General features: G+C 45.4%; 1 protein-coding gene across 27 annotated transcripts in view, besides 2 other annotated features; it reads left to right on the top strand.

Moving 5' to 3' along the window:
• The window catches only part of NTRK3 (neurotrophic receptor tyrosine kinase 3), a 396,989-nt gene that overhangs the window by 208,646 nt on the left and 170,432 nt on the right, over window positions 1-17,911 (top strand). For 26 of the 27 annotated variants that reach the window (XR_001751292.3, NM_001243101.2, NM_002530.4 and 23 more), the window contains 1 exon segment: window positions 15,049-15,237. Coding sequence is in view for 26 of the 27 variants with exons in the window: in NM_001243101.2 (NP_001230030.1) it covers window positions 15,049-15,237 (189 nt within the window). In the remaining variant the exon portion in view is untranslated. 27 annotated transcript variants of the gene reach the window in all.
• Window positions 10,541-11,350: an enhancer, noted in NCBI's record as "NANOG-H3K4me1 hESC enhancer chr15:88579975-88580784 (GRCh37/hg19 assembly coordinates)". NCBI's record gives its function as "activates a minimal SCP1, AML or CMV promoter by ChIP-STARR-seq in primed H9 embryonic stem cells {active_cell/tissue: H9 hESC(primed)}" and the evidence as "EXISTENCE:reporter gene assay evidence [ECO:0000049][PMID:30033119]".
• Window positions 11,351-12,162: an enhancer, noted in NCBI's record as "OCT4-NANOG-H3K4me1 hESC enhancer chr15:88579163-88579974 (GRCh37/hg19 assembly coordinates)". NCBI's record gives its function as "activates a minimal SCP1, AML or CMV promoter by ChIP-STARR-seq in naive H9 embryonic stem cells {active_cell/tissue: H9 hESC(naive)}" and the evidence as "EXISTENCE:reporter gene assay evidence [ECO:0000049][PMID:30033119]".

Raw genomic sequence — 17,911 nt, 5'->3', positions numbered from 1 at the left:
CAAATGATATTTATTGACTGCCTAAGAAGGACAATGTCCTATATGGATATTCTGAGGATACTTGCTAGGCCCCTCTATAGACTGCCTCAAAGGGAGTTTAGGAGATAGGATGGAGACATGTTGGCTAGGGTGGTTCACTGCTTTACTTGTGATATTGCATCACTAGTGTCTGGAGTTCAAAACAGCAGTTGATTCTACCCATGACTATCTTTTCTCCACCTTCCACTCCCACACACAGGAGGCCTAAGTTACTTTTTATCAGGCTTACTACACCATTTTTCATCCAGACCAAAGGGGGCTCTATTAATGATGATGCTGGAACAACAGATAAACAGACTGTCCAGGGCAGATCAGGATGTGTGGTCGCCCTCCTTTTAATAGAACCAGACATCTCTGAACTGAATGAGGAGATACTCCCTTTTTGGCAGGCTTCAATTTCTTACCTGAACCATTGTTAGGTTAATGGATGCATGAAGAAACAGACTTTTGATGAGGAGGTACCGTGAAGGTGAGGAGTTTTAATGAATTGGCTAGTTTAATAATATAACCTGATCTAGACATCAGTACAAGAATAATACTATAAACTGATTGTGAGAAGTCACAAAATTTCAAAATAATATGCATTTATACATTTTCAGATGAGATCTCTGGACTTTTTTTTTCCCTTGGTACCAGGGCTAACTCACTACTATAGAATCTCCCCACCATCTACCTCACCGCACCTTTTTGGGGTATTCTGTTTGGGTGTTCAATATTCCTGGGTATATTACACATAAGTATATTATATACATCACTCATGGAAATATTTTATCTGGTGAGATGGAAGAAGGTGTAAAATTGTGAAGAAATGCAGACCAGTAATTCTCCTTACACACCTGTTCAATGAGCAGCCACGTGCTACTAGTTCATGTGTGTTCATACACATTCTTGTTCAGGGAGTGCACATGGGATTTCCGGTATGTTTATGAGGGTCTGCTGGTGGGCATGCGTGGAACCTCATTGCTTTTCCCTGTGTGACTGAAGGGGCTTAGAGTACATGGCCCTGTGGGTGTCAGCTGTCAGCCTCGCCCATGGAGCCTCTGCAGGGCGGTCAGGGCAGGCACGTAGACAGGAGCAGGTACTACAGTATATAAAGCGTGCCGTACAAGGGAAGAGATCACAGAACTGATGCGGTGTTATTTCAATTGATTTTGGTGTTGCATTTATACCTGCACATGCTGAAAATCAATCGACCCTCTGTACCCTCGCCATTCCTGCTGCAGCGCTGTTCGAATGAAATGCTTATATCATTTTTATGGCATGTCTGTGAAAGGGATGAGTGAGCCAAGAGATTAATAGAGGCTGCTGGGGCCCTTGCCCGGCTGCTGTCCAGGTGTGTGGGGAGAAGAGACAGCAGCCAAGGTTCAAGGTGCCATGAAGGTGACCCCCCCTGAGAAAACGGAGAGGATCTGTGGAACAGGAGGCTAGACAAGTCCTCTGGGGTGGGACAAGGATGAAGTATGTGGGCAGATGGAGCTACAGGCTAATGTGTTTGCTGGGTGAGGTGTCCTTCCTTGCACTGCCTTCCTCTCTGTCCTCCCCTGGTTGACTGTCTCAGGTGCTGCCTCATGTCCTGAGCGCACCTGTAACATGGTGCTCTTCCTATGTGTCATCTCTGTTGGTTTATTTGTGTGTCCCACCTGTAGACCTGGGGACCTGTTCAGGCTGAGGTTGTGTCTTTTTTCTCCCCTTTTCTAGTCCCTAGCTCAGAGCCCAGCACAGGAGAAGGTATTTGGTGAGCACATGGGCAGGAAAGGCCAGTCTGGAAGGTGTGGCATGAATCATGAACTATAGTCTGTAGGTCACTTTCAAGGATTCTAGAGGGTACATATTGCTACAGTTCCTGGGGAGCTGCTCTTGGGAGATTAAATGCCCATAGATTGAACTCCCAGTTCACCCAGAGCCTGAGATTCCTCCACATCTATCACCATCCTTATAATGCTGGTTTATCCCTTGTGCCTGCCACTGATGCTCCAGCCTGGGTGCTGAAGATTAGGCATATGGGAGACATGGTGCTGTGGGTTGAATTGTGTCCTGCAAAAAGATATGTTGAAGTCTTAATCACTAGTACCTGTTAATGTGAACTTATTCGGAAATAGCCTCTTTGCAGATGGAATTAAGATTTAAGTTAAGATGAAGTGATACAGGAATAGAGTGCGCCCTTGATCTAATTTGACTGAGGGCCTTATAAAAAGAGGAGAAGAGACACAGAAATGGACACACACAAAGAGGAAGATGCCATGCGATGAGCGGAGAAGGCTACATGATGACAGAGGTCAGAGTGATGCATTAACATGCCAAGGAATGACAAGGATTGGCAGCCACCAACAGAAGCTTGGTGGAGGCAAGGAGGGATTCTATCCAGAGTCTCAGGGACCATGGCCTGGCTGGTACCTTGATTTCCAACTGCTAGCCTCCAGAACTGTAGTGCATAACTCTGTTGTTTTAAGTCACCTAGTTTGTGTTTTGTTGTGGTTGTTATGGCAGCTCTAGGAAGTTCACAGCTTTGGAGAGGCAATGCCTACCAGTGTCTGGGGTAGCACTTGGGGCAACGTATATTTTGTAATTGCCTGTTCTCTTAAAGGGACTTTAATAGGGACGCAGTGAAATTCAGAGATATCCAGGATAGAGTCCTTGCCTTGTAGGGATTTATGATCTAGAGAATTTTAGGACCAGCTGAGAAGCTTGAATTGGGATAAGTAAGGAAATGGGCCAGTGTTGACCCCAGGACAATCAACAGCAGGATGGGTTCAAATGCAGACAGGTTCCTTACTGCTTTTTATGGGTGTATGTTTCTGATGAAAATTATAACACTGGGTAATGGCACAACTTCCAGAAGTAAAATGCCATAGGACTGCTCTGTGACTTGTCCACAAGATATCCTTGCCACAGACACAGGGTGGTGGGCTCCTGTTATAGGTCCTGAGACTTGGATGTACTATTCTAGTTGGAGGCAACACTGTGACTCAACAGAGAGCTGGGCCTGGGAGATGTGCTACCTAAGATGGGCAGGTGCCAACACCTGGTCCAGTGAGCACTAGGCAAGAGGCTACAGGAGGCCAGAAGCACCTGCAATAGTCCATCCCCTATGCAAAGGTAGGGCCTGTGGTCCCGCAGGGCATGCACAGCCCCCAGCAGAAGTACCTTCAGGGCTTGTGGAACTCAGCATGGTGCTACAGCAAATATTTTCTAATAAAAGGGAAAGTACCTCTTTGTCTGATATAAGATGATAGGGTCTGTGTCAAGCCCAGGGTGAGCTGAGTGTGAGCACACAGGATTCTTAGGGCATGGGATTGAGTTCATAATCTCAGAATGGCCTGGAAGAAGACATTGGACTTTCATGGTTTCTAGCTAACTGTAAATTCAGGCCTCATTTCAGCATCTTTGATTTAGGTGCATTATAGTTCAGAAGTGTGTTCATTCTAGACCTAGTGCTTTTGGCCGTATGATTATGTAGGTTGAGGTGGTGGTGGGGTGGGGGGGCGGGTGTGGTGGGCCAGGCGTGGTGGCTCACTCCTGTAATCCCAGCACTTTGGAAGGCCAAGGCGGGCAGATCACGAGGTCAGGAGATCAAGACCATCCTGGCCAACACAGTGAAACCCTGTCTCTACTAAAAATACAAAAAAATTAGCCGGGTATGGTGGCAGGTGCCTTTAGTCCCAGCTACTCGGGAAGCTGAGGCAGGAGAATGGAGTGAACCCGGGAGGCAGAGCTTGCAGTGAGCCGAGATCGTGTCACTGCACTCCAGCTTGGGCAACAGAGCAAGACTCCATCTCAAAAAAAAAAAAAAAAAAAAAAAAGAACATAGACTTGGGAATCCCACAGCTCCAGGACACTGCTACCTACTAGCTGTGTGACCTTAGGCAGACTGCTTAACTGCTCTGACTCTAATTATAGGACCCACTTCACTGAGCCACTGTGAGCGTTGGACAGGATCACACAGAGCCCAGTACAGTGCCAACAAGTGACCAGTGTTGGTCAACAAGTGATAGCAGACCTTAGCTATTATTATCTGTTTTACTACACAGGTATTTCAGATCATCACTCTGACTTTTCTGGGGGTGACAATATGCCATGGTATGACTCCATGTGTACTTAGAAATACTGGGAAAAGGGTTTTCTTGAGACATACCCTGGATACCCTATTGCAGTGTATGAGACCCATACAACTGTGGGTGACATATCTAGTTAGGAAGTCTTATATCAGCCAGTGCCTATAAGACCCCAAGTTCCTCCAGAAAAGGATTTTCTTCTTCTCTGCATCAGTTCTCTCTCTCTTTCTCTTCTAACTCATTGTGCCTCACTTTAATTTGAAAGAACTTCATATTGAAGCCATCCAGGATCACCTAGTGGGGTTTTAGATATTAGATTTCCCTCTTGTGACCTCCGTAAAGTCAGAGGCATTTGGGCTTAGCCCTCAGGAATTTGGGTTCTCATTCTCTTGGCTTTGGTGTTGAAATCAGATCATGCAAGTGCCAAAAGGGACATGATGTGAGTGGGTGGAGGCATGAGGACTGTAGCAGTTCAACATGGCAGCCCCTGGCACTGCATGACCTCAAGTGATGTTTCCTCCCAGTCTTCAAAAGTCCCCAGGAAGTTGGGGGAAAGTTACAGATAAATCTTTAGGGAAAATAAATGTCTCTATTTTGAGGTAACACTAGCAAGCCATAGTGGCTAGAACTGAATTTAGACATGTTGAAATTTGAACTATGATCTCTTCATGGGGCCTCGGGCCAAAAACCCAGCATTTTGTATTCCAGTCACCTTATACGTGCAATCAGAAGGTAACTACTCACTTCCTGTTGATGCCTGGGATGGTCTGAAATACTGTCTGTACAAAGAGTCTTTGGAGAAGTCTGATGGCATCTGCCTTCCCTCCAGGATGCTTGTTTTGACATTCTCAGACCCCTTGCTGCCGGCCATTCCTGTGCTATGAATTTCTGGTTGCCCCTGACAGCTACATCCTTATGCCACAGTTGTGGGTTTGGAGTTTACTGGAAATGTCATGGGCTTCTTTCCTAAACAAAGCCAGTTCTCTTACAAATGAATTTCAAGAGAGTAAAGGTTGGGAGTGGGAAGGAGAATGTGGCTGACTTGTCCTGTTGTTAGAAAAACAATACTGGAGGGTGGGGCAGCAAGGTGCTGCAGTGAAATGAGCCCAGACTTTGAAGTCAGATAGACGTGGATCTGTTTACCATTTATTAACTGTGTGATCTTGGGCAAATTATGAAGCCTTGAGCTTGAATTTCCTCAACTACATCACTGGGGATAAGAGGATCTACCCCCAGGGTTGTGGTGATGATTAAGGGAGGTAAGGGAAGCTGAGTCCAAATACCCATCCTGCCTTCCCCTTCCTTAAGTGCGTGTTCTTGGGCTGGTTGATGAGCAACATCATTTTCAATCACCAAGTGATACCTCCAAGCTATGAATGCTGCGAGGCATGAACAACGCCTTTGGTTCCTGTAAGAGGCTGGGAGGGAATTCGAGCCAGAGAATAAAGCTTATCTTTTGGGAAATGATTCAGGGAGAGGAGCGGAGAAGTGCGGAGGGCAGGCCTTGCTGTGCTGCCTGCAGGACCCCATGTGCCCCGGAGACCACAGAGGGCAGAGTCTGTCTGGAAGCCGGAGGAGGCAGAGAGGGGAGGGCCCAGAGGAACAAGTCTAGGAACAGAAGGCCATGACTAGTCCCCAGGTCTGTTCTTGAGCACAGCCCGTGTTCACTTGGCCTCTGTCCCACATCTGCCAATAAAAATTAAGAAATTGATTTTCTTTTGTTTGCCTCTGAGGACCAGCCTCTTTTTATGAGACAGTAAATGGAATCCCTCTCTGAGCATGGCTGGATTTTTAATTGTGTTTGTTGTGCTTCCACTTATTCCGTTTTATGAGTTCCTGCTCCCAGATTTGTTGATGCGAAGCTCTCGCCCACCAGGGACATGTCAGTGTTTGATTTCTATCAGTAGGAAAAGGTTGAGGTTTTAAAAAAATCATTTTCTTAATCCAAAGGTTGGCTTGTTTGCTTCATTCTGACACATTAAAAAAAGCATGAGACCCATGCAGGCTTATTTGCTTCTGCTACCCAAGTCAGATCTAAGTGGTCATGATCTGACTCTGTGGAACAGAAGATTGAAGATTTGAGCTCAACTTTGGGACAGAGAGTGGGGAGGAGGCATTTTAAAAATGGATTATATCATTGAGGACGACAAGCCCTTTTTTTTTTTTTTTTTTTTTTTTATGAGGGACTTCTGCGGAGACTTGCTGAAGATGGTGTGATGCACGCGAAGTGTCTGAATGAAGAAATTAAAGTACCATTGGTAAATGTGGAGATGTGATAGACAGCACCCCCACCAATCACAACTGCTTAAAACAATGGTGCTGCATTTTGCACGTCACCATGGCTGCGCCAGGTGTTGGCGGGAGCCCTTGCGTCTAAGTTGGCCTCACTGAGGGACTGGGGCTGAGTGGGGTTCTGTTTCATGCTTCCACAAATGCCAACCCAGGAAAAAGGGAATGTGACAAGTCACACTGGATCTTCAAGCTTCCACGTGGGAGTGATGCATCCTCACTTCTGCTTACTTTTCATTCCAAAGAAAGTGATGGGGGTACTGTTTAACTTCAAGGTGGTCCACAAAACTGCAGTCCTAGTGAGTGCCTAGATATACTCAATAAATAGCAGTCATGCTTACCACAGCTCCCAAGAGGGCTTCTGAGTTGGGAAGTGAGATTGCTGCCCCCCAACCCTACTTTGGAAGGAAGTACAAGTGTAAAGGAAGGAGTACAGGAATCGATTCTGGAGTTGGAATTGTACAATTTAAGTCTATCTGTTGGACTTGTCAGCCCAGAGCTATTTTATGTGGGCTGGTCCAACCCTGAAAATATTTGGCAGTCCATCCCTAGATGCACTGATTTAGCCCCAATCACAGGGGAGCTGGCATATCGCCTTCTGTATATAGGCTCATGTATTCACACCAAGCACTCTTTGTTTGTGAAAAATACTTGGTGTCAGCCATACTGTTGAGAAAATGGGTAGTTTGGTGTGAAGACGCAGAACTTTGGAGTCAAACAAAATGGCTTGAAATACAGGTTCCACCACTTCCTGACTAGGTGATTTTTGAAAATGACTTAAACTTATTTGAGGATAGGTTTTGTTGTTGATTAAATGAGAATAATGGTAGTTGTTGAGGATCAAATGAGATGAGAAGAAAGTGCCCAGCAACATATCTGGCATGTAGTTGGTATTTAATTAATGTCAGTTTTATTTTCCCTCCATCTTTCCTTTTCTTGTAAACCACAGGGATCCCAGCATCCTTGGGGTTCTGTCACTCCTTTGGAATTTGGAGAAGAACCACTTCTACACGTTGGCTGGGCAAATGCCCTAGGGTTGGGCCAGTGGCTGGATTTTCTTGGTGCCACATTTCTGAGGATTGTCAATGATCTGTAAGTCATAGAGTTGCTGGAAGAGAAAGGAGTTTTAGAGCCAACAGTAGGGCATTAGAGAAAATAATTCCAAGGCAGTCTTTCCCCTGATCTGAAAGAGGGAGTGAGTATTGATGTATCAGTGTATTCCCTGGGAGGCCGCTCCTTTTTCCTCCTTCATTTTTTGTGACCCACCTCTTTCCCCCTCTCTTTCTGCATTATGAACCCTGAGAAGAACTTTCCCTGGAGTCACCAAAGGCTTCTGCAGAATGGTGGTGTACCCACAGGTCCTCATGGTGACTTGTTGTCCCAGGCTCCTCTCTTGGGACTGGGGCTCAGCCCACCTGGGTGGAAGTTCATGCTACTGCAGTGAAGTTCCCTCTCCACTGTTGCCATCAGAAAGTTTTGCTTTCTCTGTGTAAAAAGTAAAATAGAGATTCCTCTTCAAAGACTTTCCTCCCCATCTAATTAGGAATAAATAGTAACTTCTCTTAGAAGCAAAATTTATTCAAAGACCTGTGCTAACATTCTTAAATATCTGCTAGCCATAATAAAGAAATCAATGTACTTTATGTTCTTAGCTCCCACAATTTAGCCTAAATATTTGCCCTGGCATGCTTATACTGGTCCAAGCAAGCATTAGGTCATAGCCTGTTCATCTTCCTTATTTGAAGGTGTTGTTACCTTTCTCAGCATTTCACAATTTACTTCCTCCTTCCTTGGTTCTCCTCTGCTTTTCCTCTTTTAAAAAGTTCTAAGTTGCTAGCCAATCATGACAAATATAGAATGTGAGGTCCCATTCCAGCCAATGGAAACCGGACACAGCAGTAGGGTGGACGTGTCAGGTTATAAATGACCCTGTCTCCTTTGTTCAATGTATTGTCGTGGCAAAACTGCTGGTGGGTGTATCTTTTCTGCAGAAAGTATAAAAACGGCCTTGCTGAGGAAATTAAATTTATGTTCAAGTGCTATTTCTTTACGGCACTGGGGAACAAGCATTTCAAACATCTGGGAACCTGAATCCCAACTTGGAATAAACCATTTATGGAATTGGAGCCATTCCTTGCTCTACACCCTCATTTTTCCCCTGTGGAAGAACAGGGAGGGGAGGAAAAGCCTCTGGACAGAGAATATGGACCATTCTGTGGGGAAAGACACCTGTCAGGGCCATCGAGTTTCTCCAGTTATCCAATGGTTCTGTTATGATATGGTTGGAAGAATAAAATCCACCGTGGATCTGAAGAAAAAAACAAGGCACCAATTTTAGAAGAGAATAATATGATATTGAGAGTCTGTGCAGACCTCTGTTCCCTTGAGGGTCTCTCTCCAAAGCTTGCATTTACTAGAAAGGCTATGAGAATGTTTCTCTTCTTTTTGATTATTAGTGTTGCATAACAAAGTAATTGTGTAATTTGGAATGGATTAGTGACAGCAGAGAGGCCGATAACAGGTAATAGGCGGGCTGTGTGTTTCTGTGCGTGTGTGTGTGTGTGTGTGTGTGTGTGTGTGTGTGTGTGTGTGTGTTGAGGGCTCAATAGACATCAAAGCTTGACTCCTCTTGACCTGCCATCCACCTCAGCAGCTTCAAGAAAATAGAAGAAAGCTGCCCAGACAGTTGAGATATTTTTCCCCCTATTACTTTTCCCTCCTTCACTATCTTAACAAATTCTTCACTGTGGTTATTAAGGTGAGAACAATCTCAGTGAGAACAAATGCTTCCTCCCCTAGAGGGGCTACAGGTCTTTGAGTTTTCCCCTGAGGCAAGTGATGTGAGAACTGGCCAGAGTTTCATGGAGTAACATGTTGGTGTCTCTCTCAGTGGTTCTCAACCTGGCACAGCTCCGTCACCACAGGGGATGTTTGGAAATGTGTGTGTGTGTTTTGTGGGGAGACTGGACTTTTTTTTTACATTTTAAAATTTTTGTCTTTTAGACTTTATTTTTAGAGTGATTTTAGGTTCACAGCAAAATCAAGTAAAAGGTACAGAGATTTCCCATCTACCCCATGCCCCTACCCATGCACAGCCTCCCTCATGATCAGCATCCTCCGCAGAGTGGTGCATTTGTTATGGCTGATGAAGCTGAGACTGGCTTTTCATGCCCAGGTCTAGGGCTGCTACATGCCTAGAACAGCCCTGTCCAAGGAAGACTTGTCTTGACCCAGTGCCAGCCGTAGCCCTATAAGGAGCCCTGCTGGACTCAGACACAAGCAGGCAGGGGCCAGTTGCAGAGGCTTCCTCTTACATCCTTTGAAGTGATGGGCCTATGTGCTTTTTATTGGGTTTTCTTTTAAGGAATGTAGTTTATGGAAGAGCAAAGGTGAGTAAGAGGGCCTTGGGAATGGGGCAAGAGTCTGATGGTGCGATGCTCTTTTCCGCTGTGGATATAGCTTAATAGGAACATTCAGCAGTGACATACATCAGAAGACATGATGAATTATCTGTAATCTATCTGGGTGAGTCTAATGAGGTGACTCACTCCCATCCCAATTCTCAAGGGTCAAGAGGAACATCTTTAAAAAGGGTCTTGGGGAGCTGCAATTGAAGGCAGCTGCTTATGAGGAAGATAATGTACCAGAATTGATCAAGTATCCCTTTGCATAAATTCTTTCCCCCACAGTCTGCACTTTCAGGGAGGCAGTGCTGGTGGAGGGTTATGAGCACAGGCTCCGGAGCCAGACTGTGAGTTTAAATTCCAGCATCACCACTTCTTTGCTAGGCATCTGTCCTTGGGCAGGTCACTGCTCTGTGCTGTAATGCCCCCGTCTTTAAAATGGGGAAAATAATGGTACCAATGTCACAGAGGCATTATAAGATTAACTCCTTTACAGAGCCTGATGTGTAGGAAGTATTCAATAATAAAAATTATTACAATCATCAGCATTTCTCCAACTAACTCCTCAACTCACTATAATTTGACTTTTCCTTAACATTCCATGGAAACTTCTCTCATTAAGGTCGCCTACACATTTTCCAACACGTTGGCTCATTTTCAAGCTTAATCCTGTTTGTCCTCAGTGTATTTGTCTCTTGAACTTCTAGACACTCTCCTTCTTTGAATGCTTTCTTTCTTTCTTTCTTTTGAGAGGGAGTCTTGCTCTGTTGCCAGGCTAGAGTGCAGTGGGTGCCATCTCAGCTCACTGCAATCTCCGACTACCAGGTTCAAGTGATTCTCCTGCCTCAGCCTCTCTAGTAGCTGGGATCACAGGCATGCACCAACACACCCAGCTAATTTTTGTATTTTTAGTATTGACTGGGTTTCACCTTGTTGGCCAGGCTGGTCTCGAATGCCTGACCTCACATGATCTGCTCACCTCGGCCTCCCAAAGTGCTGGGATTACAAGCATAAACCACTGCGCCTGGCCTCCTCCTTTGAATTCTAAGACAGTATCCTTTTCTGGTTTCCTTTCACATCTCTGGCAGTTCTCTTTTTCCTTGCTCCCCTTCTAATGCCCACATTTTAAGTATTGGGGTCCCCAGGGCTCTGATGTCTGGCTTTATTCTTTTATCTCTCTCAGGTCTTCCTGGGTGATCTTATTCCTTCCTGTGGCTTGGGAGTCTGTGGCAGAACACTTCCATCTATGCACCTTAACACAGCTTTTTCAAATCCTCAAATAAGGTAGAGAAGGTGGAGACTGTTTTAGATCCCAGGCTCTTGGAACATTTCATTGACTACTTGCTATCTATGGACTTTATGTGAGCAGATTCAAAGAAACAGCCTTTCACAAAAGGTTTAAGTCTCGATGTGGTATCTTCTCAAACTTCTCCCTCTTCCGTGTCCTTCCTCCATGTCACTTTAACCATCCACATCCTATAATGCTGAGAACAGAAAGGGGCGGGGTTGGAGGTGAACTTCTGTTGCGTGTGGTCTTTGTGTCTTCCTGCATTCCGTGGTCTACAATTCTAATAAAGCAAGTAGTCTGTAGTTGCAGGAAGGCTTGTGAGCTTTGGAGTAAACAAGACAGCCTGGGCATGGATCCTGTCTTCATCATTGTATTCTGTAATCTCTCGCTCCAGACACCTCCTTCCCGCAGCCCTGCGGCTTGAGACTGCCTCTCTATGATACTAAATCCCCAGCTTCCTCTTTTCCTTGCTTGCCCCCTTGTTTTGCTGACATCCCTCTTCCTGATGCATGCTAAGACGGGGACAAGCAAGGCAAATTTTTACACATTTGCAAATACTTTTATTTTGTTCTTAGAGTGGATTGATTTTTTTTTTTTTTAGGTGTAGATTTCCAGGTTAAAAAGTTCCCCATCCAAATGTTGAAGGAATTGCTCTGTAGAATAACAATAGTGGTATTGTTATAGAGAATGATTCCATTGTCTTTCTGATTGCTGTTCCTTTATAAATGTATCCCTCTTGCCTGGAAGCTCTTAGCATCTTCTCTTTATCTCTAGGGCTCTGGCATTTTGTAATTGTGTGCCTTGATATACGTGTGTGTGTGTATGTGCGTGTATGTGCACATACATTCATAGTTGTGCACTTGTGTTAATTGTGCTGGAAACTGGGTAAGTAATTTGGGTGAAATTTCCAAAAGTTTTTCAGTTTTCCATTCATCTCTTCTGTTCATATTCATTTTCCCTGTCTCTCTCTCTCTGGGATTTCTTTTAATTAGATGGTGGATCTCTTTATCAAACCTTTGATTTTCTTATCTTTCCTTTTTTATTTACCACCTCTTTCCTCTTTGTTTAATTTTCTGGAAGATTTCTTGGCTTTATCTTCCACTCTCCTTTAACTTTAAAATTTTGACGATCGTAATTTCCAAGGACTCTTCACTACCCTTGAATTGTTCACGTTTTAAATATTGCCTTGCTTGTATAGATGCAGTGTTTTCACTGACATCTCTGAGGATATTAGTAGTTTTTTTTGTTTAGAAAGTCTTCTTCTGCTTCCTGCATTGCCTCTGTTTCCTGCAGGTCGCTGATTGTCTACTTGTCTTGTGCTCTCCCATGCCGGAGCTTTGCTGAAGTGCCTGGTGATCTTGACTGCTTCTTCATATTTAGGAATTGAGCCCTAGAAAGCTAGTGCGATTCTGCCTTGTGTGCGTGGGTAGGGCTTGCCAACTGGCAGGTTTCACTGTGGCATGATCACAGAATGAGCTTGACTTTCCACTGGTAGATCTCCAAATGTCCATACCGAGAGGTATTTTTTGAGAGAATTCATCCAGAGATGTATTCTCTAATCTCCTGCAGGGTGCTGGTATGAGATGAGATTGGTGTGATGGGGAGGCAGGGTTGCAGGAAGAAGGGGCTGAGCTTCATGCTTCATCCCAGCCCTCTCCTGAGCCTTCTGAGTTCAATGTCTCTGGGTAAACCACTAGAGTCCTGTGGGAAGGGAGCAAGGTGATAGTGGGGGCGGGGCACCTTGTTCCCGCCTGGAGCCTCACTCCACCTCAGCCTTCCTGGCTCTCTTGTCCTTTCACATAGTGATCCTTTCCAGCAGAACTGGCTGCCTGCAAATATTCCCCCTGCAGTCCTGTTGGTCATCTCTTCTTCAACTCTTTCCTCTTTCCTCCTCTTGCCTCTTTCTTCTTTTGACTTTTTAAATTCCAAAATATTATTGAACTATCTTATTTTCTCTTATCACCACTTTTCCTCTTTCTCTTTGTGCACAGATATTTTTTGAATTTCCTTTTTTGTATTTTAGTAGAGGGAATGGTTAGTGTATGTTTGAGGAGGGAAAGAGGATAAAAACCAGTGCTTAGTTTTCCCTGTTTAACTGGAATTTGCTATAAAGTTTTTCAAAAAGTTTACAAGGTGTTTTCAGGAACTGGCTTCTTTTTTGCAAGGCAAGTGATTATTGTGAGTATTTGGGCAACCACTTACAGCTACTTTTCCATACGGTCTCCAAACACAGTCAGATATTTGTCATGGATTGGAATAAGCCTGTCTGTGCTGATGGAGTGGAATTCAGGGTCCTCCATTTGCATTTACCAGTCTCCCATTTAGTTCTGCCTCATTGGTGCTTCACCTCGCTATTTGATGGGAAATATTCTCTCCATAAACTTCAGTAAGATGTAATGGATTTCTGCAGTGGAAATATTGTTCAAGCTGCAAAACCAAATCACAGCAGGCACTTTGTCTGGGGCCTGTGTGTCTAGCAAAGCAGCCATTCAAAACGCCAGTTGTATGAAGCCACAAACAGTCACAGCTAATTCACTTTACAGGAGTTTTATTTGTATGTATGGGAGAACCACGGCACCAAACAGAAGCATTCTTCTACCAAGACTGCAGCGTTAATTATCTTTGCCATCTTGGGCTTTTTGAGTAACTGTATGTCCTTACTGGATTTCTTCTTTGGGTTAGAAAGAAGTGGGAGTGGAACTGGGGTTGATGAAGACACAAATGATGTTCTTTGAAGCCATTGGGTCAATGTGATATTTCAAGAGTGGGGCAGCTGGCCCAGCTGCTGGTATGGAGATCATGATGCAGCTTCGTTACTGTCATTTGTAAAACTTGGCTCAGCTTAGGTCCAGGCCCACAGTGGACTTACCTCCCTGTGAACAAGGGAGGGTTGATGGCTGAGTGCAGTAAAAGATAGAGGATACTCCCCTGGGAGTCTGGTGGCCAGCTGGAGAGGCTCTAGGTCTTTGAGCCACTCATCAGAGTTTCTTGATCCTGATTGTAAATGGGACTCACCTGGGGAGCTCTCACAATCTGATGTCCAGCTTGCACCCCCAGACCAATGGAATCAGAACCTCTGGGGATGAAATCCAGCATCAGACATTGTTAAAGCTCCCTAGAAGAGGAGGTACAGGGTGCACACTACTGCTAGGTCATTTTTAAAATCCTATTGTTGCTACATAAGAAAATAAACGTATTTAAAACTCTTATTTTGAACTAATTTGGACTTGGGAGAAAGTGAAAATAGTTTATGCCAGGGTCATTTAAATTTACCTTGATTTTCCAGCTGTTTCCATGGTTTGATAGGTGAGTAATTCTCAAGAAAGAGAATTTAGGGTGGTTCTCTGAATTCAGAATACAGAGCATTCGAGGAATACGCTTCCAGTGGATTTTGCTAATAAAGAAAATGTGGGCCGGGCATGATGACTCACACCTGTAATCCTAGCACTTTGGGAGGCTGAGGTGGGTGGATCACTTGAGGTCAGGAGTTTGAGACCATCCTGGCCAACATGGTAAAATCCTGTCTCCACGAAAAATACAAAAATTAGCCAGGCATGGTGGCAGGCACCTGTAATCCCAGCTACTCGAGAGGCTGAGGCATGAGAATCGCTTGAGTCCAGGAGGTAGAGGTTGCAGTGAGCCAAGATGGCGCCACTGCCCTCCAGCCTGGGTGATGGAGAGAGACTCTATTTCATTTAAAAGAAAAAAAAAAGGCAACCTATAGAATGGAAAAAAAATTGTAAGCCATGTATATCTGATAAGGGGTTAATATCTAAAATACACCAGAAACCCAAACAACTGAATTTATATATATATATATATATATATATATATATATATATATAACACACCCCCCAAAAGTAAAAAAAAGAAAATGTTTGTGATGGGAACAGTAGTTGGGGGTTGTCTGTGGACAGGGCTGGAAACTGGCCGGATGTGACGTCACCAGGTCCTGCGTCTCTCTTGGTGTGTGCAGGTCCCGTGGCTGTCATCAGTGGTGAGGAGGACTCAGCCAGCCCACTGCACCACATCAACCACGGCATCACCACGCCCTCGTCACTGGATGCCGGGCCCGACACTGTGGTCATTGGCATGACTCGCATCCCTGTCATTGAGAACCCCCAGTACTTCCGTCAGGGACACAACTGCCACAAGCCGGACACGTGTAAGTACTGGGATGGAATGCTCTCCCTCCTGGGGAGGGGAGGGTGGTTGGTGATAGACCATGTACCTGGGGTTCTGGAACCTTCTAGGGTGACCTGCTACCTGCCAACCTCCCACTTTCTAAGAGACCCTCCCTGTTTGTTTCAAAACTTGAAGAATAGCCTGAGCCAGGAGTCCCCGGGACCAGAGTCCTCTGCGAAGGGGGTCCTGTGGGTCTGAATCTGCTTCCCTTTTTTCTTCACCTGGGCTCAGCAGGACCCTGGGTGCTCCCAATAAGGCAGGAGACACAGAGAGGCTGTTCTTCTCTCTAGACCTGGCCTATGTAACTAGGAAACATAACCTGACTCTGTTTAGACAGCAGCCCCTGAGCTCACCAGAACCTCCACCCAAGCCTCCATGAGGGGGAAGGGAATAAAGGGCAGTGAGTACCTTTGAATGGAAACATCTCTCTAGCTGCCCCTCCAGTGCCCCGAAGTGTGCACTTTCTGAGAATCAGATCACAGCCCCAGCGCTAGGAACTCTCACCTCCCCACTGCAGATGTCTCACTCAGACCAGAGGGCTCAGGGCACCTGTTTCCCTCTCATCTCCCCTCTCCTGTTGGTTCCAACCCCTCTCCTTGTCCTTCTGCTGAGCCCTGCTAGGCCCCCTCTGAGCTCCTGGAGCCTCAATGACTTGTCTGTCCATCCAGCAGGGTTCCTCCTGCTGTGTGCCCAGGTTCAATCTGGGCCCAGCAACACCCAAGCAGACCCCCGCTCCTCCTACTCTTCCTGTCCCCAGGAAATGATCCACTGCATCAAGAGAGAGCACAGCAGCTCCTGGAGAACAGGGACACCCATGCCTGCCTGAGAGCTGGAAGGACAGAAGTGATCGGCTAGGTTGAGGCCTCACCTTACAGACAGGAATACCGAGGCTCTGGGTGGCTGCCCCAGGCTTCCTGACAGTGGGTTCTTTTCATGTCTCAGTGGGTTGCAGGGTGGGCCTAGGAAGAGGCGCTTTTTGGTCTTGCTCAGCCCCTGGGCAGAGCTCTCTGTACTTGGAGTACAGTCTTTGTAGCTCACAGAACTCTTGCTGCTCCTGCTGGTTCATCCTACAGCAGAGTGGGCACTGGGCTACCCCCATCAGCCTTTGCTTCATTTCCCTGGCTCTGAGTTTTAGGAGAGCATTGCCACAGTGGGAGGGAGTGGGCTTGAGTCAGCATAAGGTCATCGTTTGCCTCCTAACCTTGGGTGTTCTCCAGAATCTGTCTCAGTGTGTATCAGATGCTCCCTGTCAGTATCAGAAAAAGGACATCTGGGTTCTGAACCACGGCTGGGCAAGGAAGAGAGATACCTGTTTTTCAGATAAACCATGGGAAGCACAGAACAAAGATTAGTTCACTTCTGGCTAAATTTCCTGTCTCAGATCAGGCTCACCCCAGGACTGGCCTGGGTAGGACTGGGAGGAAGGACCTTCTATGGTGATAGCTGGGTCCAAGCTCAGTCTAGGGTTGATACTGAGTTTCCTAGGGTGCTGTTGATATTTGAGCAGAGACCTAGACATTGCTATGTTCAATATACAGTTGGTTCTCATTATCTGTATCAGTTGTGTTCTGTGAAGTCGCCGTGAACACTGAATTAGTGAACACTGAACCATTGCTCCTAGGGAAGACACGAGGTTAGGTTCCTGTGAGCCTCGGGTCACATTTTATCAACCAGTCAATACATAACCTTGTCATATGTTTCTGTTTAAAGACACCTTATTTAATACATGTTGTTGATTCATTAACATTGAACTCATGGCCATGGCCACTGTCACTCTTCCTGAGCAAAGCTTATCTAACACATGTGTTTTTTCTGTGAGGCACATCACAGCTGTCCTAAGCTAAGGAACACTAGCCAATACTTCAGAACGATGCTTGGGGGCCCTACCAAACTGCATAGTCACTAGCAACAAGCACAAAAGTGTAAAAAAATGTGGTCTGGAATAGACCACAAAAAAGGTAGTTGTTTATAGTATGAGAGTTGAAACAAGAATTTTAGAACAATGTACATGATAAATATGACAGATGACAGGTTTTTTTTTTCCAATTAAAATAAATGATTTTTTTTTAAAAAGGAAGAAGGCAGATATCTCCTTGTTGAGTCTCAGCTGGAAACGTGCCTCTAAGGTCACATTTTGTCACTCTACACATGGCCCTAAATGACCAGGAAAGTGCCTTGAGTCTTGGTTTTGGCACTGCACATAAATTTTAGAAAGTAAGTGAATTCCCAAATACAGAATCTGTGAATAATGAGGATCCCTCTGTCCTCTTTAGTGGAAGCTCTGGATTCCTGGTGCAGAATATGATCTCGTGATCATATCTGCTCACAGAAGCTCCTGATACCAGGTTATCCGCACAGTTGCCAGATGGGATGACTCTCTGGTGTGTTGGAGGCAAGTTTCCTCTGGGCCTTCAGAATAAGTGTCCCCATGGAAGCCTGGGAGCCATGGAGAGAGCTATGGGGCCTGGTGAACATCCTTTGGTGTCAAAACAAAGCATAGCCAAGGACTCATCCCACTAGGCAAACCATGTGGAGGAAGTCTTCCTTCTAGAGCCCTCTAGATTTGTGATTCAAAGTGGCTATTCTCAGGATCCAGACGGTTCTTCAGTGTAAACAAGAAAAGGTTGGTGAAAATGGGAAGGCAGCAGGTTTAC

This window comes from Homo sapiens, chromosome 15 (genome assembly GCF_000001405.40).
Source record: "Homo sapiens chromosome 15, GRCh38.p14 Primary Assembly".
Taxonomy (NCBI): Eukaryota; Metazoa; Chordata; class Mammalia; order Primates; family Hominidae; genus Homo; species Homo sapiens.
The sequence above is the reverse complement of the archived record's forward strand: the minus strand, read 5'-3'. Positions and strand labels throughout refer to the sequence as shown.